The sequence below is a fragment of the Homo sapiens genome, chromosome 2 (assembly GCF_000001405.40).
Source record: "Homo sapiens chromosome 2, GRCh38.p14 Primary Assembly".
Classification (NCBI taxonomy): domain Eukaryota; kingdom Metazoa; phylum Chordata; class Mammalia; order Primates; family Hominidae; genus Homo; species Homo sapiens.
The window spans coordinates 148976009-149003731 of NC_000002.12; the positions used below are offsets into that span (position 1 = coordinate 148976009).

General features: G+C 43.3%; 1 protein-coding gene across 5 annotated transcripts in view, besides 3 other annotated features; it reads left to right on the forward strand.

The window, feature by feature from the left end:
- Positions 1–27723, forward strand: part of KIF5C (kinesin family member 5C) — a 151533-nt gene that overhangs the window by 100782 nt on the left and 23028 nt on the right. For all 5 annotated transcript variants that reach the window (NR_111932.2, NM_004522.3, XM_017004062.2 and 2 more), the window contains 9 exons: positions 2914–2982; positions 5347–5553; positions 7612–7758; positions 15002–15190; positions 18413–18530; positions 21256–21332; positions 22392–22501; positions 24415–24516; positions 24714–24774. Coding sequence is in view for 4 of the 5 variants with exons in the window: in NM_004522.3 (NP_004513.1) it covers positions 2914–2982; positions 5347–5553; positions 7612–7758; positions 15002–15190; positions 18413–18530; positions 21256–21332; positions 22392–22501; positions 24415–24516; positions 24714–24774 (1080 nt within the window). In the remaining variant the exon portion in view is untranslated. The remainder of the gene's footprint in view (positions 1–2913; positions 2983–5346; positions 5554–7611; positions 7759–15001; positions 15191–18412; positions 18531–21255; positions 21333–22391; positions 22502–24414; positions 24517–24713; positions 24775–27723) is intronic.
- Positions 23263–24196: an enhancer, noted in NCBI's record as "NANOG-H3K27ac-H3K4me1 hESC enhancer chr2:149855785-149856718 (GRCh37/hg19 assembly coordinates)". NCBI's record gives its function as "activates a minimal SCP1, AML or CMV promoter by ChIP-STARR-seq in primed H9 embryonic stem cells {active_cell/tissue: H9 hESC(primed)}" and the evidence as "EXISTENCE:reporter gene assay evidence [ECO:0000049][PMID:30033119]".
- Positions 23467–23761: a silencer, noted in NCBI's record as "tiled region #317; K562 Repressive non-DNase unmatched - State 21:Repr". NCBI's record gives its function as "represses a minimal TATA promoter and a strong SV40 promoter by Sharpr-MPRA in K562 cells {active_cell/tissue: K562}" and the evidence as "EXISTENCE:reporter gene assay evidence [ECO:0000049][PMID:27701403]".
- Positions 24197–25128: an enhancer, noted in NCBI's record as "OCT4-NANOG-H3K27ac-H3K4me1 hESC enhancer chr2:149856719-149857650 (GRCh37/hg19 assembly coordinates)". NCBI's record gives its function as "activates a minimal SCP1, AML or CMV promoter by ChIP-STARR-seq in primed H9 embryonic stem cells {active_cell/tissue: H9 hESC(primed)}" and the evidence as "EXISTENCE:reporter gene assay evidence [ECO:0000049][PMID:30033119]".

Here is a 27723-nt window from a genome sequence, read left to right on the forward strand (position 1 = left end):
ACAATGTGAACAAGTTGGCGCTGGCACTCCTTGTCTCTTAGTCTCTGTCCCTCTACAGTACTGCTCTGCTCTTGGAGATCCTGACACGAACCAAGCTTAAGTAGAAATGAAAGTTGATTATTTTTATGCAGATTACCATTGCAATAAAAACATTTTTATACTTAAAGGTGAACAGTGACCTGTTGACAACTGAGGTTGACCAGTTTCTCATTTATAAGGGTGTGCATATTATTTTGTTTTATTTATTTATTTATTTATTTATTTATTTATTTATTTTTTGAGATGGAGTCTCGCTCTGTCACTCAGGCTGGAGTCCAGTGGTGCGACCTCAGTGCACTGCAACCTCTGCCTCCTGGGTTCAAGCAATTCTCCTGCCTCAGCCTCCTGAGTAGCTGGGACTACAGGCGCACACCACCACGCCTGGCTAATTTTTGTATTTTTAGTAGAGATGGGGCTTCACCATCTTGGCCAGGATGGTCTTGATTTCCTGACCTCGTGATCCACCTGCCTCGGCCTCCCAAAGTGCTGGGATTTCAGGCCTGAGCCACCACGCCTGGCCGCATGTTATTTTTTTTTTAATTTTTGAGATGGGGTCTTGTTCTGTTGCGCAGACTAGAGTGCAGTGGTGAAATCACAACTCACTGCAGCTTCAACCTTCCAGGCTCAAGCCATCCACCTGCCTCAGCCTCCTGAGTAGCTGGTACTACAGGCACATACCACCACACTCAGCTAATTTTTTTTTTTGTATGTTTTGTAGAGACGGAGATTTGCCATGTTGCTCAGGCTGGTCTCGGACTCCTGGGCTCAAGTGATCAAGCTGCCTTGGCCTCCCAAAGTGCTGGGATTATAGGCGTGAGCCACTGTAACTGGCCTTATGTTATTTCATGTATAAGAAAATTCAAGTATAAAATACTTTCTGAAAAGTGCTTTAAAATCTGTTATCCATGGACAAGATCTTTAGAACCGGCATCAGAGTGAGCGTGCTTATGCATGTTCTAAGAGATGCAGTTGAATGTGTAGATATAAGCACACCTTATTATTCTGGAGGTTTTGAAAGACTTTAAAAAAAATCACAGTAGAGCTCATTAATTCCTTAGATAAGTTGCCTTAATAAAGGGTAAATATAGTTTGGGAAATGTCTCTGATACAAGTGATCCACGTCTTCTGTAGTATCATCCTTGTTCTTCATCCTTCCCAGGTGGGGCCAGGGGCCCTTGGTTTTTCACTGTACCTTAAAAATCACTGCATCCCAGCTTGTCATCTGTTGGGAGGAAGCCTGCATCTTCAGGCTTTGAAATGAGCACAGCGTAAGGACAGAGTTCACTCCATTTCTCTCCTCTTGTGGTTTATATCACTTGTAGTGCTTGTCCATTTGTCCCAGGAGAAGAGATGGTGGCTCTCCGATGGTAAATTCTTTGAATCCTTTATGCTAAGTTGTCTAATATTTAAGTGCTCAGGAACATAAACACAAAATCGTTACTGGTAACTGACGTGCTAAGTTTATAAAGTAGAAGAGAAAATATATCTACAAAATAGTCTTCTAGTTGTAGAAGTGCCAGTTTTTGGAGGTTTCATTCTGGTATAATTTCCCTAATATGATTTGTGCAGGAAAATAGAACCATTAAAGAAACATTGGTGTAAAGGGTTCAGTAGAAACAGGATCTCTTTAAGTAGAAAAGCAAAGCCAAATGATGGTCTACATAAAGGACAAGGAGATTCAGATCCTGTATGGCTGATTTTAGAATTTTCTTTCTCCATGGAAAGCATTAGTTTGTGACATTAAATTAACATGATTCAAATGTATGCATAGATATCACCAAACAGGCTGGGGAATATCCCGTGGAACATTGAGGTTCTGTGACCCAGGCCCTTAAGTTTGGGTTAGATTTCACCCCTGGAAAAGGCAAAAGGCACAGTACAGGGTGTGTTTTTCTGGGCTGCTGATGAAAACACCTAGACAGGACCTGGCACGAAGAAGTGCCCAAGGATGCTCAATTGAATCTGACTCTGTTTGGTGTTTAGACCCTAGAAGCCAGGTTGTCATCTTCACAGGCTATGTTTCAAATTTTATTTGAAGTCGTGAAAATAATGCAGTGAAGACTGTGTTTTTTATGTAGTTAGGCATCATCTGCCTGCTGCTTTGCCTGCACTGGGGGTGGACTGAGTCTAAGGGGAGGTGGGGAGAGGTGGGCAGCGAATACCCTTGCTTTTGTGGCAGCAACACCTAGTGGCAGAAAAAGAGTGAGAAGAGCGAATTTGCCTTTCCCACTTCAGTGACAGCCCAGAAAGTAAGCATGAATGCTTCTGTCCCTCAGCTGCCCTGAGGTTTTTTTTTTTTTTTTTTTTTTTTTTTTAACTGTTAAGAAAATTAACTTCCAATCGAGAGGGAGGTCTTCCAATGCCAAATCTCCAGTTCATTTTTCTCTGGTCTGAGAGGTTTGAAGTGGAAACATTGGCTCTCCCTGCCGATCTGGTGGCAGCACTCCTGCTTACTGATGCATTTGACAAGATTTGGGATAATAACATATGACAGTGCAGCTAGGTAGAAATTCACTCCTTTATTTTTTGAATTAGGAATTTCACTGTTAGCATCTTTGAATTGGGAGGGATATCTCTAACGTCCCTTTCAGTTCCCAAACCGTAGATCTCTGATTTCTCAATGAGCAGGAATTGGGTTGAATGTGCAGGATATTATATTTCCAGAATAGTCAGCTGTTTCATCTGCTGAGAAAGGTGGGTGAGGAGGTATTTTAACTGAATGAGATCTCGGAATCTGTCTGTTTTCTGTGCAGTAACACCACACTATTCCTTCCTTCTTATCAGCAAGCTTATGGTAGCTGCCTGTCACTGGGAGACTGGGATATCAAAAATGACATAACTAACCAAAAAAACAAACATGATGTTTCGTTTCAGGATGATGAAATTAACCAGCAGAGCCAGCTGGCTGAAAAGCTGAAGCAACAGATGTTGGATCAGGATGAGGTAAAGAATGCAATATATTTTTTTTTCCACAAAGTTCTTCTATTACTCTTTGTTGTTGATGTTTGTTCCAGGAATTTAATTGGCATAGAAGCTTTTCATAATTACAGAATCATGTGGAAATTTCTTGGTAGATGTCCCTTCACTGCCTCTTACAAGCTGATTATCACTGAATTTAGAAAATAAATGTCTGACTTTCAAAAACCCCTGATGTTTTGAGATTGAGTAGCCAGTGGCTACAGTTCGTTCTGGAAGGGCAGAGACCTTTGGTTGGGTGATCAAGCAAGGATGATCCTTTTTTATTTTTATTTTTTTGAGACAGGGTCTCTCTGTTGTCCAGGCTGGAATGCAGTGGTGCAATCATGGCTCACTGCAACCTCCAGAGCTCAAATGATCTTCCCGCCTAAGACTCTCAAGTAGCTAAGACTACAAGAATGTGCCACCATACCTAGCTAATTTTTTAATATTTTGAGACAGAGTTTCTCTATGTTGGTCAGGGTGATCTTGAACTCCCGGCCTCTGGCTTGGCTCCTGCCTTGGCTCCCAAAGCACTGGGATTACAGGTGTGAGCCACTGCACCTGGCCTTGGGCAAGGATGATTCTGCCTCCTAATACCCAGCAATGCTGTGACCTGTTGTTTGAGTCCTACTTCAGTTTTGCAATCAGCTTGCTCAGATCTTTGATATACACCATGTTCTCCTGCTGTCCTGTAGGGATACACAAACAAAAACAAAACTAGAAGGTAGAGGAGGGGAAGGCAAAGAGAACGGGGCCCGAGTACTGCGTCAGCATGTTTGATACACTAAAAAGGAGGCAAATTGTTTTCAGTCTCTCCCCAAAGGCATTCAGTTCTTCAGCAAGTGTTTTTACTACATTGTGTGTTGCCAAGTATTTTACAAACAAGAACCTAAGCAAAGGATAGCCAGCCAACTTATCAAACATGCACAATTAATAATTCCCTTGCTGAGGACCGTTTAAGTGTTGTTTTCTTTTGTGCTTTAAGTTGCTTTCTGCTTCGTTGCTGAAATGCTATGGATTGGATCCCACTGTGCAATGACAGCAGGTGCCTGGGTTTCTGTCCTCAATCCCAGGCCTCTGTAGGCATAAAGGACTCTGTAACCATTTCCTTCCTCTTTGTTCCCTTTCATCTCTTTAGGACAATGATTACCTCCCCTGCCCAAACACTTCCCTTGGTAGGGAGATAATCTACACTTTTGTAATCAGGTGAACCATATTTCGTTGATCTCTCTCTCTTAGCTATAGTCGAGGCCTTCCATTTGCTTGAGTTTCCTGCCCTCTACCTCCCATTCTACTCCAGTTTCACCCACATTGGCACAGCTGCCTGGGATAAACTTTACTTCTTGTTACTGTTAAAACTCCTTAACATTTTTCTTTTTCTATACTATCAAGGCAGTATCTGTTCAATATAGGAAAATCAACTTAGGAACAAAGATAATGAGAGCGTCGGCAAGCCCAGACATTCGCTTTTAACTAAAGATACTGTTTGGGGTACATCCTTCTATATCTTCATGATGGATGTTAAAAAAAAGGTGACTGACCACTGTTGTATACTGTTTTAGTTGATTGTGAAGTCAACCAGTTTACAATGTGAAATCCTGATAACACTTAAAAATTATGTAAGTGTTATTCCTTGTCATTTCCTTGGAAACGACTCTCAGATCCTTTGCTTATTTATTTATTTATTTATTTATTTATTTATTTATTTATTTATTATTTAGACGAAGTCTTGCTCTGCTGCCCAGGCTGGAGTGCAGTGGCATCATCTCGGCTCACTACAACCTCTGCCTCCCAGGTTCAAGCTATTCTCCTGCCTCAGCTTCCCAAGTAGCTGGGATTATAGGTGTGCACCACCACACCCAGCTATTTTTTTTTTGTATTTTTAGTAGAGATGGGGTTTTGCCATATTGGCCAGGCTGTTTGTGAACTCTTGACCTCAGGTAATCCACCTGCCTCGGCCTCTCAAAGTGCTGAGATTACAGGCATGAGCCACTGCGCCTGGCCCCATCCTTTGCTTAAAATATGGAATAGCTATAAAATGCAGTGATTTTTTGATGTGTAATTCTTTCTTTGAGTTAAGGGTATACAGCTTTAAACTAACAACAACAACAACAAAACATACAAAACAAAACACATGCACACAAAACAGATTTTTGCAATAAGAACATATCTGTCTTTTTCTTTTATTTTTTTATCGTCTGGACCATACAGTGGGGTTTCCCATCATCCTGAACTTTTTCAACTTGTTTTCTTATATCTGGTTTTTAAATTACTTACTTTTGGATACAGCATAGAACATAAACATTTGAACATTAGATTCACAAGTTCCATGCCATCTCATTTCCCCAGCTTTTAGCTTCCACAAGAAGAGACTATGAGAAGATACAGGAGGAGCTGACACGTCTCCAGATTGAAAATGAGGCAGCCAAGGATGAGGTGAAAGAAGTTCTCCAGGCCCTGGAGGAGCTGGCTGTCAATTATGACCAGAAATCACAGGAAGTGGAGGATAAGACCCGGGCCAATGAGCAGCTGACAGACGAGCTGGCCCAGAAAACGGTTGGAGCATTTGTGTCTAGGGGGTGGGACTTCCTTGGCTGCCGTTCCTGTACTCATATTGATATTCATTGACAGACATGGTATAAGGAGGCAGTGGCTGAATAGTTATTCAGTGTTAGATGCATTCTCTGAGGTCCCTCCAACAATTGAAATACTTCGTGCAAGTGACTTTTGTTCACTCTTCCTGGAACTGCATATCATGACTGTTTTATATCCAGAGAATTAATAACATTAGTGGGGATGCTTTGTGGGAATAGTCAAAAGAGTGCAGACTTTGGAGCCAGAAAAGTCTTAGTTACAAGTCTGACTTCATAACTCTTAGACCTTAGCTGAGACAGTTAAGCTTTGTGAGTATTCATTCCCTTATCTGTAAAAATGGTGACGATCATATGCTGCTTGCATGGTGTGAGGATTAGTGACAGTTTATGTAAAGCACTTAGCACAGATCTGTGCATATGCTACGATATCAATACATACATCTCAAAGCATTGCTACTGGCAAGAGCAGGGTCCCATAGAAGGTATGGACTTCACTCTTCTTGCTTATACCCTCCTGAATGAATTCCATTCCCTCCCGTCAGCTTTTTGTCCTAGCTGTTACCTTCAGGAGCCTGGAACTAAGCTGCCCTTGTTTGTTTGTTTGCTGTTCTAAGCCAGTGCTTCAGCCTGCACATTCCCTTATTTCCAGATTCTCCAAATGAAAGATGCCATAGGTTCTGCAGTGAGCTAGCGGTAGCAGGAGCAGTGAATGTTTGGCATGGCGGGGTGGGATGTGTCCTTTTCTACCTGGAAAATGGGTGGTGGAGAAGCTGACTGGCTCTAACCTGCTATCCTTAGCACCTCTGCCCAATGGCCTGGTGTCCTGGGCTTGTGCCCAGCCTGCTTTGTGGAAAGCATCCAGTTTAAAAAGAAGTAGCAGATGGCGCAGGAGAGTGCTGGTCTGCTGACTGTGAGGCTGACAGGAAATGCTCCTCGCGGCATACATTCAGCTCCATGGAGGAAGACTTTTCTAGCAGCTTCCCAAGATGGGGACTACTGCCTCTGAGGATTTTAAAAACAAGATGACATAAGCAGTTGGCAATGCCAAACAAAATAAAACAAACTCATTCAGAAGTCACTTAGGAAAGGGGGCGACTTAGATTTTCTCTGCTTAGTGTTTTCTATGAGATTCTTTTAATTAGTCCTTCATGTTACTTGCTTCTTAAAACAATGAAACATTTTTCATAATACAGTTTTTAATTTGCCATGAAACCAAAGTATTACTAGATTGGTTTAGAAGACTATTATTAGACAGATTGTTTAAAAATGCTCTAGCTGCATATGGGAGAATTGTATAAATAGATAACTGTTTTACTGATGTTAAACGTTAGTTAAGAATACATACCTTTTGGCAAGATACATGAGGATGAAAAAGAGATGGGTTTATTAAAGTTTGACAAGAAAATAGAGCTTCTGCTATATAGTAAGAAACCAACTATTGAACGTAACCTAATTTTGAAAAAAGGTGAAGGGTGTTTAATTCAGCTTCACTCTGAAAATTGGAAGACTTTTTTTTTTGAAGTTGTTTTCTAAACTTATTAATGTTCTTCTGGGCCATCTATTCTAGACCCATCTGTCTTTATCAATTTAGGTGGGAATATGGAGGTGGCCCAGGGAGCAGGTTTGTTTAGGAGTGAAGGTGGGGACCCTTGCAGGTAAGTTTAGACCCTGAAATGAAACAGATAGGACTGACATAGAATATCTGGTAAGTAGGAAGATGCAATTACATGTTATAAATTTAAGGACTTCCTTTTTGGCTTAACTTATTTCCCTGACTTGGAAATTGTCATCTGATATGTAGACATATAATGTATCAGGCCATGTGATACAACTTGTTGATAAAGAGTTCCCCTTCTTATCCAAGAATGCAGTGCTATGCGAGAGTTTGCCTTAAAAGGATTCTTAGGTTGAAGTCATGTAAAAGAAATCCATTCTACATGATGGTGTTATTCTTTGTAATGTGGAGTGTATGAAATTGATGGGCAACCCTTTGAATTTGTTGTTGAAATTTGTTTTTCAGACTACATTGACAACCACACAGAGAGAGCTGAGCCAGCTACAAGAGCTTAGCAACCACCAGAAGAAAAGGGCAACTGAGATCCTGAATTTGCTGTTGAAAGATCTGGGGGAGATAGGTGGAATTATTGGCACCAATGATGTGAAAACTGTAAGCCAGCCCTTCTTTTATCCTCTCTACCTGCTCCTGTCAAGTTAGTAGGGTCTGTGCTTTACTCTTTTAAGCATTCAATGCTTAGCACTGTGCTTTGCATCTGCCATGTGCTGGTTAGTGTTTGAATGAATGAAAAAAGGGCTAATTGAATGACTGAGTGAATTGTTTGTTGGGGTGAGGAGGAGGAGAAAAAAAATTATCTTTCAAATCTAGGCAGTGTCTTCAAATGTTGGTTGGCTTTGTGTAAATTGGTTTATTTCTCAAATTGGTTTATTTCTCAACTTATTTCCTAATGTTGCAGAAGTTTGGAATTAAATAGCTTAAGCAACAGTTCTAGTCTCAGAATTGTGTTTTTCCTTTTCTGAAAGAACCCAGTGAAGTGAAAATTCTCCAAGTCAGTGTGAAAGTGATAGGATTCTAACAGTGGCTTAAGAAATAAAACCACATTTAATTATTCACAATATGAGAAGTCTAAAATCTTGCCACTCAGGGTGTGATCTGCCTCACCTGGGAGCTTATTGGAACTACAGCCTTTCAGGCCCCACCTCAGACCTATTGAATCAAAATCTGCACTTTAACAAGATTCTCCAGGTGATTCTTTATGCTTATTAAAGTTTGAGAAGCAAATTTTGTTTTGGTGCCATGGCTCAACAATGTCAAGTTCTCAGGCTTTTTCTCTGTTTCCTTTCTCCTGTCCTCAGCTTGTTTCCTTTTCATAATCCAGAGGATTATGCCTCATGGTAGCAAAATAGCTGCTGTAGTACCAATCATCACATCCTCACTCAACCACATCCAAGGCAGGATGGGCTGAAAAGGCCAACTTCTTTAATCCAGGAGGGAAACATATCCCAGAAGTCCCCAGGAGACATATCCTTACACTTCATTGGCCAGAACTGGATCACATGACCACTCCACATTTCTGGGAAAGCAAAGGGGACTGGGATTACTATAATTGGCATAGACCAATCATGATGAATCCCTTGGGGTTGTACATATTGGTGCTCTTGGTTATTTGTTTATTTATTTATTTATTTATTTTGAGACAAACTTTTGCTTTGTCACCCAGGCTGGAGTGCAGTGGCGCAATCTCAGCTCACTGCAACCTCTGCCTCCTGGGTTCAACCAATTCATGTGCCTCAGTCTGCCGAGTAGCTGGGATTACAGGCATGTGCCACCAGGCCCTGCTAATTTTTTTATTATTATTATTTTTTTAAGTGGAGATGGGGTTTCTCCATATTGGCCAGGCTGGTCTCGAATTCCTGGCCTCAAGTGATTCGCCTGCCTCTGCCTCCCAAAGTGCTGGGAATACAGGCGTGAGCCACCACACCTGGCCATTGGTGCTGTTGACAGCGAGAAAGTAAGAGATGTGGGGATAATAGGGGTGGTATAAAGTTGTCCAGAAACTAGGAATAGAAGGAAGAGATAGAGTTAAAAATGGTATCAGCCCAGAACAGGTAACAATTTGCTGGAATATAGAAAGGCTATTGTTGTTATTAACCAAAAAGACAGGGTAGAGACATTTTTAAAACAAAACAAAAAGCTTTATTGAGGTATAATTTACATAAAGCTGCACATATTTAAAGTATACAGTCTGAGAAATTTTGACGTATGTGTACAGTCATGAAACCATCAGCACCGTTAAGATAATGAATGTCCCCATCTCCCCCAAAAGTATGTGGGGGCAGTTTCTGGTCTCTCTATTTTGTTTCATGGATCAAATCTTCCTGCCAATACCACAATGTTTTGATCACCATAGCTTTATAATAATACAGCATCTTATACAAAGGAGTCATTGATGAATATATGTTGATTTTGTTGAGCTGGGGAATGGTATTACATTGCTTACCTTACATGTCACAATTCCCTGAAACCAAATTCTTTGAATTTAGCCATTTTATCTTTAAAAGGCTGAATTCTACATCAGTCTGCTTAGTGGGGACACTCAGGTCGTGAGCTGGGATTGTTAAATACTGGAAAATGCTCCCAAGATCAGGCTTCCTTTTGTAGACTATTTCTGGGAAATGTTGAAAGCCGTTTTTGGATGGTGTAACAGGTCCCAGCTTAGAGTACATGACCGCTCGTAAATGTAACCATTCTTTCATGGAACCTTTATTGTAACTGATTATTTCATAAATCCTTGTGAATGAATCTAATTCTAGCACAGACTTCTCAGATACTATAGAGTTAATCTTATTAAGCTTCAATTTGGTGATTTTATATTTGAAGATTTAATTTTTTGAACCATACATTGGTGTTGAGCAATAAAATTCGATGTGAGGTGATTAAATGGCCTCACAATATGAAGGTGGAGTTGATATATGGGAAGTTGATGCTTGCTGCTGATAACGATAAAGGAAGAAGGTATTTTTATGCTAAGTTCTAAAATAGAGCTGATGAAAATGCTAATGAAATCAGGAGTGTCTGGGTGCTTCAGTATTGAAAAAAGAGTCTTTACCTTTGGGAATCTGAACTATGATTGAGATTGAGATTGTTTTTAAATACTCAATTGGATATTTTTGAGATTATTTTTGGATTCCAGACATTGGATGTCCTAGTTAATTTCATTGATAGCCATCATTTCTATCATTCTGGTTTTTTTCATATAATTATGAGTTCATCATTAGGGTGATAAGAGCTAAGGGAGTAGTTGTATGACTTTGGATGAGTGACTGTACTTCTTTGGGCTTCATTTTTCTAATTTATAAAATGACAAGATAAGCTCAGACAGTATCAAAAATTGTCGGCTCAGAAATTACTTGACTTCTGCACATTTGTTTTAGATTTATCCTTATAGGTACAGGTACTTTTCTTATTGGTCATGACTATGAATTGATATAGTAATTCTTTTGATATAGGAAAATGAACAGATCAAGGGAATTTGTTTCAGTGGTTTTGTATTTTTATTCCTAAAATGCCATTTAATTTTCACAAGGTCCCTCCTGGTAGGGCTCTGGGATGGGGGAAAAATATGACTATTGGAGCCTTCCCCAGTCCACAGTTCTAGAATATGACAGCTCTGAAAAGCCAGAAAACAGAAAAACCCATATATCCCCAGCTCAATCATGTCTTGAAACATTTCCAGAGTCCAGTCATTTTGTTTCATCAACAAAACAAGATGAGTCCAGCATATAACAAGATGAGCCCAATGTTAACTTTATCGAAGTTTATGAGTGAGCCTTCTCTTCCTTTCATGTACTGGTGGCACTGAACTGTCAACAGAAGTATGATGAGGTCCATACATTTGGAAAGGAGAGCTTTATTTTTCATAATGGGTTGCAGCCTGCAGGGTGGCCACTCTTACAGGTTGGGAAGTGTAGCCTTTGGCCAGAAGCCAGAAAGAAGCACTTTGAGGATGGGAAGAATGACAGGGACTTATGTTTTTCACAGGGTGGCCAAATAAACTTATTCAACAGGTTACAGGAGGAGCTATGAAGATTCATGAAGGAGTGGCATGTGCATGTGTAGTAGGAAAACATGTATGCAACATGGGTCCCATGTTCACTTTTATTTGGAGACTTAACATTTAAATGTATTATAATTAGGCCCTGTACATCAAAGGGTGAAGCAGAGGATATGAAGGCTGTGTGCAGCCTTAGTAGCCTGGCCAGAACCAGAACCACTTCATGGTTGGTGGTCTCTCGTTGGGGAAGGAACTTTGGTTGGTGGTTGTGTTGAAATTGCAAAAGAGAGGGGCAGGGGCAGGCTGTGGTTATCAGCAGTGAAGCAGTGGAGTGAATATTTCAAAAGGGCTGGCTTCTGTTTAACCCTTGGGGAAGAAAGCCTAATGCTGATTGGCGAGGGAGGGTGTATGACCAGGCGTTTCCAACTTCCCAATCTGTCCTGGGCTGGAACTCGGTATTTAACATTTCTCTGGGGTCTCCTTGGCCACGAGGGGGTCTGTTCAGTCATTCGGGGGGTTAGGATTTTATTTGTATTTCTTGGGGCCTACCTTACCTTGCTACCTTCAAAGGAATTTAGCCAGAACCTGAATAGAAGTTGAGGTAGAGTAAATGAACTGAATTGGACTGGCTGCCTTATTTTCTTTTGGCCCACACTGACTTCTTTTTGTCCCATTCTAACTTTTATGACTTTAAATGTGAACATGCACCTTACTTACCTTGGGTGTGGCCTAGGAATGGCAGTAGTTCATCATCGTGCACAGCCACTCCATGCTTGAGAGATGGGGGTAGGGAGGTGGAGAGGTAGGGATGACTCCCTGTATAGGCAGGTAGAAGCAGCAGGCCACATCTTCCATAGATTTCATGACGGTGTGGTCTTTTCTCCTGGGTTGGTCATTGATACTGGATCCCATGGTCTAGTATGTACTACTGGGGGCATTATCAGACTCTGGGACAGTTATAAATAAAATTTCAGCAGCAAACTGATTTTTTTTTTTTTTAAATAACAGTGTCCTGAAATTACTGGAAACTTTTGAACATGAAACCACTAAATATATGAACTTTGTAGTGGTAAGAAACCTCACAGTTAAAACCCCTTTGTTAGGGGTATTGTTTTTATCCATCAGGCACAAACTCAAAATCTCCTTTTAGATCTCCAAGGACAGGAACTGGCTTCAGAAGTTATAGCTCTGGTTTGGGAGAAGAAATGTCTAGCTCTTATTTTGGAGGAAGCCCATCTTTATACATATCTATATTTTTACTCTTCCTCAATTTACATGGGATCTAGGCATAAAAGACAAAGTGTCCTACTTTGACAGACCTGGAAAAGAAGAGGAATTCATTCTCTTCCCAGGGTGCCAGAGCTTCTGGCTCAGCAGCGTTTTCCTACCAGGAGCTGGTGTAGGCTGTGAATTCCATGTGGAAGAGATGGGTTTTACTTTGTCTTTCTGCAGAGGCTGGACAAGATGTAAGATACACCTGGTCAGGCTCAGGAAGGTGTTTCTCATCCTTCTCCTACACTGGACTAAAGACAGTGGCAGAACACACTCAACTTAAAGATTGCATGCTTTTCTCACCCAGTGTCTCCATGCCATTAGAATAGAAAAGGAATATAGTGAGGAGTGGTTTTGGTAGGCAGATCTTTGGCAGTCGGAAGTAAAATGGGTTTAACAAGGACCTCCATGAAGGTAGAGTCAGAAATAGATACTTGTCAATTTTCTTGCTGTTGACATACATTCTGCAGTATTGTTGACACTGGAGTCACTTGACATGTACTATTGTTGAACTTTTTTAATTTTTAATTTTTATTTCAGTAGGTTTTTGGAGGACAGGTGGTGTTTGGTTACATGGATAAGTTCTTTAGTGGTGATTTCTGAGATTTTGGTGCACCCATCACCTAAGCAGTGTACACTGTACCCAGTGTGTGCTCTTTTATCCCTCACCCCACTTCCCACCCTTTCTTCCAAGTCCCCAAAGTCCATTGTATCATTCGTATGCCTTTGTGTCCTCATAGCTAGCTCCCACTTATGAGTGAGAATATACGATGTTTGGTTTTCCATTCTTGAGTTATTAATACTTCACTTAGAATAATAGTCTCCAATTCCACCCAGGTTGCTCCGAATGCCACTATTCCATTCCTTTTTATGGCTGGGTAGTATTCCATGATTTTACACACACACACACACACACACACACACACACCACATTTTCTTTATCTACTCATTGACTGATGGGCATTTGGGCTGGTTCCATATTTTTGCAATTGCAAATTGTGCTGCCGTAAACATGCACGTCTTTTTCATGTAATGACATCTTTTCTTTGGGTAGATACCCAGTAGTGGGATTGCTGGATTGAGTGGCATATCTACTTTTAGTTCTTTAAAGAATCTCCACACTGTTTTCCATAGTGGTTGTACTAGTTTACGTTCCCACCAGCAGTGTAAAAGCATTCCCTGTTCATCACTTCCATGCCAACATCTATTTTTTTTTATTTTTTTTATTATGGCCATTCTTGCAGAAGCAAGGTGGTTTCACATTGTGGTTTTGATTTGCATTTCACTGATAATTAATGATGTTGAGCCTTTTCTATATGTGTGTTGGCTATTTATATTGTTGTTGAATTCTTATGGTAAGGTTGATGCCAAACTACAGGCACTCAGCAGTTTCTAGTGTACTTCATATTTGCTACCAAATTTCAGGGCTGATACCTGGTTCCATTTTTTTAGCCCTCAAATGTTTACTGAACAGATAGTGATATGATGAGTGAATGACATCAATAACGACATAGGTGGGCACTCAGAGTGTACTGTGGAACATCAAAAAACCACGGTTGGAGTCATTGTCTTTCAACCAGTGGAAGCCTGTGTTTCTGCGCTGGATTCTGGACAGGGCTCTTTGTTTTCTCTTAAGGTGCTAGGCTGCACTCTGGTGGCTAAACAAAATATGCACACAGTTACTTGCTCATTTGGTCAATTGCTCTTAAAGACCATGTTTGCATTTCAGCGGATGGGTTTCTATCCCAAGTAGCTTGCTTCAACTTTTGTTTCAAGTAGAGCTTTGAAACTTAGAAACTAAATATAGATCATGCGGGAATGCTGGCTGTCAGAATCTTCTTTTCTAAGGTGGATTTAGACTGTTGTTCTCAGATGATCTTAAATAATGAGCTAGATTACTGTCTGTTTGGAAGGAACAGGTGTGAAAAGGCAAAGGAAAATAGACTGGTAGTAGTAATGAAAAGTTATGCTGAGAAACCTTCATCAAGAAGCCCTTTGGTAATTCATAGTACATTCTTATTTATTCGATTTTCTGTTTAATTGAGGACTACATAGAAACACCTTTTTATTTCAATCCTTGTTTATAGAAACATATTCAAGGCATTACACTACTTGTCTACCTGAATAAGCACACTATAGAGAACATTAATGAAGTTTTGATTTGAGTTTTTATAGGAATTCAGCATCACCTTTCGGAGCATTGGGTGTCGCTGCTGTTACAGAGATGTAAGGTGTAAGACATTGAATGGAATACCTTTTTGAAGTTATCTCCTTTTAAAAATCTTCAGTGTTTCTTCTTATGCTGTCATTTCTCTTTCTAAAAATTGATGGTAATGAAAAACCTAGTTAATTGAGGATTATATTTAGTAGGGGGTTTCAACTGAAAGTTTCACCTGAGGTGTAGGAGAACTTGGGGTTGAATGTTTAGTACTTTCCGCTTGTCCTTTAATTAGGATTCTGAACCAGAAATCCATGGACACCTTGGGGATCCAGGGGCAGGTTTCCAGGGAGTCCGTGAACCTATGGAAATTGTGGGCAACATTTGAGTGTGTCCCCTTCTTTGCTCAGTTGGCAGATGTGAATGGAGTCATTGAGGAGGAGTTTACCATGGCCCGCCTGTACATCAGCAAGATGAAGTCAGAGGTCAAGTCCCTGGTGAACCGCAGCAAACAGCTCGAGAGCGCCCAGATGGACTCCAACAGGAAGATGAATGCCAGCGAGCGGGAGCTGGCAGCCTGCCAGCTGCTCATCTCCCAGGTGGGCCCTTCCCTTCCCCATCATTGCACTCTTGTTGTCTTGAGATCTGCTCCCTCCATGCCCTTGCTGGTGCTGATGGTGCACCTTAGGCTTAGTTGAGGGACTGCTTTGTGTAAGCTTGGCCTCCCCAGGTGATGGCAGCCCAGGTCTATTCCTAGGGCTACATTTTGTTGTGTGAAATAGATGAATTCTGTTGAGTCCGTTCCCTTTTTCGAGGATATATCTATCTACCCATCCATAGATGGATGGCTAGCTAGCTAATGAATGTAAAAGATTGGGTGGAATCTCTAAAACTCCTGTAAGTAAGGCAATATTCCCTCATCTTTTAATCTCTACCATAGGTCCACTTTAATATGGAAAAACAGAAACTACTACTAATAGTAGTAGTAGCAGGTGGCATTTTATTGAGTGTTTACTATGTACCATACACTGTGCTAAGTACTTCACATGCATTTTCTCACTTAATCTGAAAAAAATCCTGGTAGGCAGGTTTTATTATTATTCCTCAGATAGGCAGCTGAGATTTAGACTAAATGTCTGTCCAAACACCTACAGCCCGTGAATGACAGAGCTAGGACTCAAAAAAATGTGTGTGAACCCAAAACCCATGTCTTCAAGGGCTTTTCAAGCCCGAGGGTACATTTCACTTGCCTATTGAGTAAGGCTGCTCTTCTTCCTATTGGAGTGGCATTTTCAGTTTAATAAGGTAGCTTCAGAAAACAGCAACCCAGTTTCTGGGCTACCACTGATATCTGAGCTTGGTATTTGGGTCTGACGTTTCCAGGAGGGGTCTAGTTGTATACTACTTGCTGCTTTATGCCAGGCATTAAAATAGGCTGTCATTTGGAGTAAACAGGAAACAGATACCAACATGGATTGGTGTGTCAAATAATACTGAGGCGGACAAAAGCACACTTTATTCTGGTATGCTTTTAACCATAATAATGTGTAATCATAGAAACATCTCCAACCTCTCTGTCTAAAATGGATCCACAAGGTTCCATTTTATAACCAGCATAATAAGCAGAAATGTATTGAAAAGATTATTCAGTGCTAATATGTGATAGTAAAATTGATATATTCATACATTGTTGATAAAAGTATAATTTGGTCAGTCCTTTTGGGAAGCACCGTGGAAATCAGAAACCATAAAAATGTAAGTATAATTTAGTCCAGTAATTTCACTGACAGTATTTTTCATTGTTAATGAAAATGAAAAAAATTTATTTCATATGGTATTCTCATTTCCTGATTAAAAATATTAAAAGCTTTTATGCAAGGTATTGAAGACAGTGTTATTTTGCATTATAATAAAATAAATTGCCCAAATATCCATTGATAGACTAATAAGATAAAGTTACATGGAATAATATTATGCAGCTCTTATAAAAAATGTAAAAACCTAGCCATTGGGAAAGTCTAATGGTATAAAGTTAAGTGAAAATGAAAATGCTGAGTTGGATTTATATTGTGCTTTGCATTCCTGCAGCTAAGACCAGGAATATCAGGGGGAAATAGTCCATAGATTGGTTTATGGTTTACACCACTTTTTCTGGATTTGCTTTAGAACTTTATTTTTTTATGATTATATAGTTGTTATTTATAAAAAATTAAAATAAAAATGATATGCATTAGGCAACAGTGTACCTCATCTGTGATTTCTAGGTCATCTATGATACCAAAAGCATGTGTTTTGGCCAGCCTGCCTCTAACATTTCGGGGCCAAGGCAAGGGTACTCATGGAGACCCCATGGCCTGCAGCCCACCCTCTTCTCTTTCAAGCTGGACATACCAGCTCCATGTCCAACTCCCTTTTGCACCCGGTGTGAACTGATGGAACTGTTAGATGCCGGCTGCCATTTGTTTAAATGGGTGAGGAAGAGGTAGTGCCAGCCCTGGCCTTCAGACCTGGAGTAGGAAGTTTCTAGGTCCCCAGTACTCTGAGGGTGGTCTATAGGGGACATAGGTTCAGATGGACATGTTCCTTTGGCCTGTGAACTCTTTGCTTAGTGGAGTAGGGTGTAGCCAGAGGAGGGCCCAGTGGGGTGCTCTGAATCGTCCAGGTCTCAGACTGACACTGACTTTGCTGTATGAGATCAGAGTCGAGAATATTATGATGTGTTGAGTTTAAAGAGTACCTGTTCTAAAGTTCTCTTTCTGCATCAGCAACAAACACAGCTTCCATTAGGTGGAGGTTTGCACTCTGCTACAATTCATGCATAGCAAAGATTCGACCATTATTTCCTGAGGTTCAAAAGTAACAGAAACCATGGCTGTTTATATTCTGATGTGATCTAAGGAATCTGACACAGTCTTTCCAGCTGAAATGCTATCTTCTTTGTTTACATTCATCCTCGTCACCAAAAACTGTGCTTATAAGATGACTGTTCCAACGGAGGAGTTGTGTTTTCTGGAGAGGTTATTTCATTAGATTAAAGCTCAGTCTCCAGGGTCTTCCTGCCTAAAGCTGAGCTCCCCAGATCTGGAGAGGGGAGTGTTCTGTATATATTTTCCATCTGCCTAGAAGTTACCACTGTCCCTGTTCAGCCAACAAGCTCTCATTCATCCATTCATTTCACGAATATTTATTAAGCACTTACCCTCATGGAGCTAGCAAGTAAAAAAGACAAGACAAATGATGTAGACATTAGGTGCTGTAAGAAAGTGTTGGGGCCTGAGTGATAAGGAGCTAGCCAAGGTAGTGTGTGTGTGTGGCATGTGGTGGGGTGGTGATGGTGGGGAGGGAAAGCTTCCAGGGAGAGGAAAATGCAAAGGCCCTGAGATGGGAATTGGTGTGTCTGAAGGACAGAAAAAGGGAAGACCTAATAATTGAATGGTGAAGATGGAATCCAGAGGTGCATGTTCAATGAATGAGGCCTTCAGCCCTGCACTTTTCCCAGCCCCTTTCTCTCATGCATGCTTTTCTCTGAGAAGGGAAACCAGCTCGGCCTTTGGCATCTCATGTTAACTGGATGGTGAGGAGGGGCCTGCCATGAGTGGTGTCTGTGGGGAATGAAGCCGAGAAGCACAGGGAGAAGCAGAGGTCTGTCTTGGTATGATTCTGAACACCAAGGCAAGGGTAAAATGGGCACCATTTGGTTGTGGCACTCAGAAAAGGGACTCAGGAACCCCTCCTCTCTCGCATTTTCCTACCAGACAATTCCAGGCCAGCCTGGATGACCACTTGCTAGTCATTCACTCTTCCTTTTTGCTTGTTTAAAGCACGAAGCCAAGATCAAGTCTCTGACAGACTACATGCAGAACATGGAACAGAAGAGGAGGCAGCTAGAAGAGTCCCAGGACTCGCTCAGCGAAGAGCTGGCAAAGCTCCGAGCCCAGGGTAAATATTTGACTAACGTGCAGGTGTCAAACACCTGGCCTGAGTCAGACAGCCTCTGGTTGGCTGGAATCATGATGTTTAGTTTCGTTCAGTTAAAGCATTTCTAGGTCTACTGCAAACAAAACCATAACTAGAAAAAAAGGAGCGATTTCTTTTCTTTCTTTCTTTCTTTTTTTTTTTTTAAGATGGAGTCTCGCTCTGTTGCCCAGGCTGAAGTGCGGTGGCATAATCTCAGTTCACTGCAACCTCCGCTTCCCGGTTCCAGCGATTCTCCTGCCTCAGCCTCCTGAGTAGCTGGGACTATAGATGCGTGTCACCACACCTGGCTAATTTTTGTATTTTTTAGTAGAGATGGGGTTTCACCATATTGGCCAGGCTGGTCTTGAACTCCTGACCTCGTGATCTGTCTACCTCAGCCTCCCAAAAGTACAAGAGTCAGCCACCGTGCCCAGCCTAAAAGGAGAGATTTCTGAGAGACCATCCCCACACTGAATCTGCTCATCTTCCCATTTCCTCACAGTCCACCCAGTTACCCAAATCAGAATCCCCTGCTCCCCACCTCCTGACTCTAGTTGGTCACCAGAGCCGGTCCATTTCACCTGCCAGAGGCCCCTCTGGTTCACTGTCCAGGTTAACTAAGGACTGTGGCTACATCCATCTACCCATGCCCACCCTCAGTCTGCTCTGGGCCAGCCACTGTGTGGCATCCTGAGGGATGATTCTAAAATTCACATTCTCTCTCTGTCCAAACGGACACTTCTAACCCTTCCATGGCATCCTGTTGCTCTTAATATAAAGTTTGAACTGCCGTGGCTTCCCTGGCACCCCCTTGAACAAGCTCTACCCTTTGCCAGCCAGCCTTGTGATCTCCTGAGCTTAGGGAAGTGCCTCGCACATAGGAAGCACTTCATAAATATTAATGAATATAAGCAGAAATTCAAGAGAAGGGTCTAGAAATGCAGAAAGTAGAACAGGATTAAGAATGTATGTGCCATGCAATGTGAAACTAGAACATATATATTATGGGTTGCAATGAAAATTGTTAGAATTTTCTCAGAAAGCCATTTGAAAATACATATTAATAACTGTAACATTTTTCATACCTTTTGATCATCACACCTCAGATATTCATTGCAGAATTTTAGATCAGCAAAAAAGAGGAAGCCATCTAAATGTCTAATAGTTAATACACTATGGCGTGTTATTTAATAGAACTTTTTCTTCACATGAAATACATGAAGGTGTGCAGCAATGTTTATGATGCAATGTTAGGTGAAAATCACAATATATCATTGTATTCTTACTATGGTTATAACTATTAAAAATGAATGGATGCAGCTGGGCACGGTGGCTCACGCCTGTAATCCCAGCACTTTGCGAGGCTGAGGCGGGCGGATCACGAGGTCAGGAGTTCGAGACCAGCCTGGCCAACATGGTGAAACCCTGTCTCTACTAAAAATACAAAAATTAGCAGGGTGTGGTGGCACACGCCTGTAATCCCAGCTACTCAGGAGGCTGAGGAAGGAGAATTGCTTGAATCCAGGAGGCGGAGGTTGTAATGAGCCGATATCGTGGCACTGCACTCCAGCCTGGGCGACAGAACAAGACTCCATCTTGAAAAAAAAGTGAATGGATGCTTGTGTTCCTAAAAATTCATATTTAAGATAAAAGTGGTTGTGATAGGGTAGTTGGGATTGGTGATGCTGTTATCAGTATTTATATCCTTTATTGTTGTTTTACAGTTTGCTCAGTAAATGCAATTTGTGTCAGACGCCAAGGCAAATTTAAAAAGAAAGAACATACCCACTCTCTGCTCTAACCTTGTAACATGTTCTTTGTGTGGTAACACATGGCATGTTAGGAGTAGGTGCACCATCAAAACTGCACATGGAAAATCATGTTTCTCTCTTGCATCCGGTGGTTCCTGCAGTGGGGCCACTGAGTTGAAATAAAATAGAGGCAAGAAAACCTGAAGTGGAACAGACTAGAGAGAAATAATGAATTGAATGTCACTGTCGTAAAGCACTCTGCCCCCTGGCACCCCAGCTCCCCAGCTGGGGCTGCCCATTGCACCTGGCTGGCATTTAGGGAGCACCATCGACCAAGCATATGCTGAGACAGGAGTGCCACACTGCAGCCCTGCCCCAAACATGGGGCCTTCTGGTTTAATCTCAAAAATGTTATGCTATCTTTCTGTTTCCCGTGTTCCCATCCTGGAAACAGAGTATGTTTTCCTGCCCCAGATTCTTAGAGAATAAACGCCTACCCATGGGAGGTAAATTAGGTCTTCCTAGAACTCCCATCATGGCATGGGTCCACAGGCCACCTAACAGTCACAGAGGGCTTTATCATCTGTAAGGCCCGTTCATGCACATGACCTTGGGCTGCTCACAGAGACCAGGTGGGAAACAAGCCCTCCCAGGTGTGCGGTGACATAAAGCCAGAGTGCAGTCCTAGGAGGGCCGCCCCCAGTGAGCATTGTCCCCCAGTAAGCATTGTCCCCTGCAGTTGTCGCGCTCCCCCGTGGAAGGAATGCTTCAGGAGGGGGCAGCCTTGGCTTTAGCCAGAAGTCCTTGCCTGTTCCTTTATGCCATGGTTGTAATTGCTGATATAAGCTGATGTTTCACTCTGTTGCCATTTTTCTTGCTTTTTGTTTTTTAATTTTTGCTTTTGGGTGTGAGTCCCACCAGTTAAGTCTTAAATCATCATTTAAAATTCAAAACAGAAAAAATGCACGAAGTCAGCTTCCAGGATAAGGAGAAGGAACATCTGACGCGGTTGCAGGATGCTGAAGAAATGAAGGTGTGTGTGGCTGCCCCTTCCATCAAGCCCAGTGTGCATTTGATGCATTTGGATTGGAAATGCTTGTTCTAGGAAAATCTGTCACCTTCAGATCCGTATATGGCAAGGGACAGGGGAGGGGCTGTTGTTGGGCATTCAGAGTCGATCTCAGAGTATAGCCTGGCTTAGAAATGAACAAGTCCAGAAACCCCAAGATGTCTGTAGAGAATGGTTAAGTTGCGTTAATACCTTTGTCTTCACCATTCCTGATGAAGAGGGAAAGGGTAGCACCCCCAATCACTGCATGGGCTCTTTTGTCGGAGTTAACTTCTAAGGATTTCTTCCTCCAACCTTTACGCAGAACACACCAAATTTGAGTTTCTATCTCAAACATAGAGATTTTTCTTTTGGTCACATTTTAAACTGTAAAGGAAAATTGATTGTGGAGTAAGACTTTTAGGTGAATAAAATGAGACAGGAGAAGATGTAGGATTTTGATTAGTTGTAGGCAAACTATGAGCCTCATTGAGTCAAGGTCCACAGTTAAAGACGTCCACGGCATGCCCTTGCTCCAGCCAGCAGAATAAAATCATGCGTCGTGGGAGTCCCTTTCCTGTTTTCAGAGTGCTGTTGCCAAAAGGTCTCCTTTGGACATCATCATAAATCTGTGCAGTGGGCAGGGCAGGGGCTTTTATCTCAGTTTTACATGTGAGGGAGTGCAGCTCACACAGGTTACAGGCTTATCTGGAGGTTACGTGGATAGGGAGAGGTTGGTGCCCTCTGACTGACCTGGCTGGAGAAGCTCAGGCTGGGCTGTAAAAGGTCAAGGGAACACTTTTTATTTAGTTGGTGGGCTAATTGGCTTCTAGGGCCAACTTGGTTTGATAACAGATCTTGGGTTTTGTTATCCCAATAAAGCAAGGCCGGGTCCTGGGGGCAAAACAGCCAGAAATGCCCCCAGTTTTGGGATCTGACATCTGAGGGACACAGGGAAGGAGGTAGGTCCAGATCCAGGGCTTGTCACAGAGTGGGCTGAGTGCCAACGAGTAGATGACATGTTTCTCTTGGCCTGGGATGCAGAAGGCGCTGGAGCAGCAGATGGAGAGCCACCGGGAAGCTCACCAGAAGCAGCTGTCCAGACTCCGAGACGAAATTGAGGAGAAGCAGAAAATCATTGATGAGATTCGGGAGTGAGTCGGCCCAGGGCACCAGGGGTGTGGGGGTGGTCATGCCTCGGTCCTCTTGGGGAAGCCTGGAAGGATGTGGCTCTTAGTCGAGGGCCCTGCTCACCTTGCCCTGTGGGCACTGCCCTGGTGACACAGCAGGCTGGGCGGGCTGCTTCCAAGGTCTGTTCTCCGATCTGGAGCTGAGCCTCCTGGAGCCCTGGCATGGCAGGTGGCAGGCGGGCCCAGCTGCCTCTCCTAGTCCCCGAGGGCCAGGGTCACATAGGTGATTCCGCTGGATGGACGCATGCCCCAGTAGATGGGGGGGAGCATCTGTAATGAAAGCACCAAAAAAAAAAAAAAAAAAGAAAAGAAAAGAAAAGAAAAAAAAAAAATTTGGTCCTGACTACAGGATTCTAGTAGGTTAATAAACACTCGAGAGAAGACAGCACCACCGCCTCCCCTTCTCCCCCTACACATACACGCTCACTGGGCAACCCAGCCACCTGGTTCCATGTGCTCACTTCTTAGGGCCCCACACTGTCATGTGTCTGTGCAGGTAGAGGTGCCAGTGACCTGTGGCACTGCCACCAGGATGGCATCATTGCAGTTTCTCTCAGGTGACACCCCCTCATGTTGTGCTCCTGCCTTGTCGCAGCCTCTGACATGCCCTCTGCTCCTTCAGAATAATGTTTTCAAATGCTCTGCATAAAAGACCTGGGATTACAAAGAAAACCAATTATATTGAAATGCTGACCTCCCCACCCCCACCCCACCCAGGGTCTACACTGTTCCCTCCCCTCCCGCTTTCTGTAGATGAAGAAACAGATTTCTATATGGGAAGCAAGGCGAAATGATTTACTTAAGGTCACATTGCTAAATAGGAATCAGATTGGAGTTAGACTTTAATTCTCCAGACTACTGATCCAAGTCCCTTTTCAATGTGTGTGAGCCGCTCGAAAGGTGCATTTGCATTTTAAAAGAGGAGAATGGTAACCCAAGCAAAAGTCTAAATGGTGTGACCCAGGCTCGGTGCCCAGTTCCTGAAGGAAGGCACTTAGCCTCCTCCCTCTTTTTCTCCTCTTCGGCCATCCCCTGCTGTTGCCATGTTGTGCTTTTCCCCTTCAGGGATATCTCACATTCGTTATTCTGATTAATCACCCTCACAGATTCGACTGGAAGGGAGGGGGAGGTTGGAGGGAAGGAAGAGGGAGAAAGAGGGTTGGTTGGTGAGTGAGTTAGGTGGAGGGGGAAGCTTCCCTGGCTTGTGCCTTTCAAATGGACTCTGGGTTTTCCTTCTGGTAGTGCATAGCTGTTCCTTTACAGGCGCTTAGGCGTGGCTCTAGGAAAGGTTTTATGAGTCCTGGGCTGATGTAAATGTTGACCAAACACCCTCAACCAGATGGCGAGTTTCTGTTTGCAGCAGAGCCCAGGCTGTCTTTTCTTCATAATTCTCTCTGTGCCCACTCCTCGAGGGCAGGAACTGTCCCTGTATCAGTGAGGCATTCGGACTTGGGAGATGTTTTTAGAACATCAGACCAGAAATGAGGGAAGGTGGAAATGGCCAAATCAGGTTCCCCAAGTGACTGCATGCCATCCGAGGGGCCGAGGAAGCAGAGTTCTTCTGACATGGGCTCTCTGTTTTAAAATATCAGCCCTTCTCCCATCTCATTATTTTTCCCCTGAAGCTCTTGCACAAGCAAACTATAAATACATCCTCAAAGCCTTATGTTTCATGACTCTTAGATGCACCCCAGAAATTAGTTTTCACTTGGGCACGGAGGAAGCTGTGAGGCTGTTCTGTGATCCCTCCAAATCCTGCAGAATTACTGCCTTTATTGTACAGAGCTAATAGGGTTGGAACAGAACCACGGTTTTAGCCTGATGACTCAGAATTTCAGACTGATGTGGAATATATTGCTTTTTCCTCTCAATTTCAGTTTGAATCAGAAACTGCAACTGGAACAGGAGAAGCTTAGTTCTGATTATAACAAGCTGAAAATAGAGGACCAAGAGAGAGAAATGAAGCTGGAAAAGCTCTTGTGAGTGCACTCTAAATATTTCCTCTATTTTCTCTCATCCCCATGATATTCTGGTTAGATTGGGCTAATTTAAAAACAGACAATGGCTATTTGTGTGCTTGTTGGTGGGTTTTGTTGATTTATCTGTGGATGCAAATAGTATCTGCTGAAATCTCTGAGTCCCCTGTGGTGGTCTATGGTTCCTTTTTGTTTTTCAGATTGCTCAACGATAAAAGGGAACAAGCCAGAGAAGACCTCAAAGGGCTGGAGGAGACAGTGGTATGTCAAGATATTTCCCGATTTATGTTTGTCTCCAAGACCGGATTCATTTGTGATTTGTCGGATTATTTCAAAATTTTATCCATGCACACCTTTCTGTGTAATGTTTTAGATAAGACATTCTATGGAAAAGTAGGATTTGTAGAATTTAGTCCTCAACTTTTCACAGAATCAGTCAACCAATCCATCTATCCTTAGAGCAGTAACCTGGAGCCCCTGAGTGAGGATTAAGCTGAATTGCAACTTAGCAATTTTACAGCCCTGCACTTTGTGACATACTTCCACTCAACATTCAACAGATATTTATTGAGCATCTCCTAACGGCTGGCATTCTTCAAGGTGCTTGAATATATCCATAAACAACAGAGATAAGATCCCTGTCCTCATGAAGCTTACCTTTAGCTGTGGGAGACGATAAACAGTAAGGAAACAAATCTTGCACTCTATCAGATTGCTATAGAATGTGCATAGGTTGGTGCCTGGGGGAGGCTCCATGAGGATGTGACCTTTGAGCAGGGACTCGAAGAAGGAGAAGAACTGAGCACAGAGATGTGTTGGGGAGAGCATTCCAGGCAGAGGCAACAGCTCATGCCAAGGCCCTGAGATAAGCCCGGGACTGTCCTGTTGGGGGCCAGCAGGGAGGTTTGTGTGGCTGCAGCTGAGGGAAGGACAGGGATATAAGGTGAGCACAGAGAGGTAAAGGCTTCAGTGATTCAGGCCAGGTAAAACCTTGAGACCTGCAGGGCTTTGGGTGGAGGAGTGATGGGCCCAACCTACCTTTGGAAGGGCTTGTTATTTGAAACCCTGGTTGGTTTTCTCTGTCGTGTGTCTGGGTTTGTTGGCATCATCTCCTCTGGTCGGCTTCCATTTCAGCTGCTCTGTGGGATAGCTGCCTGGCTCCGTGCCCCACAGCCTGCGCTTTAAGACAGACCATTCTAACATAGCCTCTCCATTTGGTGAAAACACGTTCAGGCATTTCACATGATTCAATGACAGAGAGAAACCGTTGGTTAGATACAGTCATCCATTTTGGCTCCGTTCATGGGTCATGTGGATCTGTGTGGGACTGATCCATCTTCAAGGACCTGGTGACCCCACATTGGTGGGAACTGGTTGCTTGGGTCTGGCCCTGAGATTGTGCTCTGGCCCATGGACTAGTCATATTTGTTGGACCTCAAAGCCAGGGAGAGGAAATGAGGGCACCAGCCATTGGAGACAGAAGATGCCTGTGTCCAAAGGGAGCTGGGCCTTTGGAGCATGGAGGAGGAGCCTGTGGAGGGGGCTGCTGCCGGGGAACCCGAAATGAAGCCATGAAATTGCTTCATCTACATCTGTTTTACCAGAGAAGTGATAATCCTAATTATAGATAATTATAGAAATTCAGAAAAATATTGAACATTAAAATTTCACTATATTTCTACCAGCCAGAGATCAGTGATATCAATGAAATATTTTGGGATGTTTTCTTCCTTTATATCCGTGAGCTCTCAGGCACTCTCACCCTACTGTCCCTAGCCATCCACGCTCTCTTTCAGTCTCACTCACACCTACAACTCAAGCATGTGAGCACATCATCACACACTCACACCGGGGCTCACAAGTCCCTTGCCCACACACGCAGTCAGCTGCTCACTCTCCTGTTCTCATGCCTCTGCGCAGCCGCACTCACTCCTGCATGCTCCTCCATACACAAGTACTTACAACACACACTCTTGCTCACACACAGAACATGCACACTTGCATTCACACACACAACTTGCATGCACACTAATGATCGTCCACACTTTCTCACTCGCACATTCACACAATCACTCTCGTGCAGTTCTCACCCTCACTCCCCTTGCTTGCCTTCACTCACACCCACACGCATGTTCACACTCCCTTGTACACTTACACAGATGCTGTCTCAGGACACTCCCCCTCACACGCACGCAGGCGCATTCACACCCGTCACTCATACACTCATTCACTGTCACAACCACCTCCGTTCACAGGCACACTCATTTCCATGCTCACGGACTCACATGCTTTCTCCTCTCATACACTCAGGAGTGTGATATTTAAAGAATGTTTCATCAGCTCTTTTGCCTTTTTTGAAGTTCGAGTGGTCTTTTGCGTCTTTTGAATGACGTATTTTCCTCACTAGCTCCTCCCGTCTCCCTGCTCGTCCGTTCTCTCTCCCACGCTGGGCGCGGTTCCATGCGCACCCTCCCAGGCTGCTCCCCGCTCTCACCCTCGCCCAGCCCATGCACGCGGACAGACACACTGGCTTCGTGGCACCCACATTCTCTCCCTCACTCTCACCACCCACACGCATCAAATGCACACTTTAAAAATCCAAGAGTGGAGCCCTGCAGTGTATGCCGTTTTAGACTCGGATGTTTTCACTCAGCCTTGGAATCCTCCCCGAGCCGTAAATGTTCTTCAGAAATAGACGCACTGTCCTTGGCTGACTGTTCTGCCGCCCTCCTCAGCGCAGGGCCCGTTCTGCCTCCTGGAGTGTTTGGGTGAGGTGGGCGGAGCATGGAGCCTGCTGGCCAGGGGGTGAATGCCCGGGAAGCCCGCTGCAGGAGACAGTGGTGGAAAAGGCCAACTGGCCGTCGGGGCATCCCTGGCCCCGGGCAGCTGACTGGCTGGAACAGGACACTGTCTGGGCTTTGGGGCGGGAGCCCTCCTCTGGGTGCGTTGATGAGACTTGTATTCCCTCCTTGCTGGTCCCACCCTTGCTGTCCACTGTGACAGGAAGCTGAGCCTTGAGCTTTGGCATGGAGAGTCACAACCTGTGATGTGAAGAGGGACATGTGTGGGGAGGCAGAGGGATGATAATGAATGTGATGGAGGAGAAAGCATTGCCACAGGAGGCTGAATGATAGTTGCCTAAGCACAGTGTGCATAAATAAAAGGGACAAGTGATTTTAAATGATTTATACTACCCTTCCCAAACTGTTT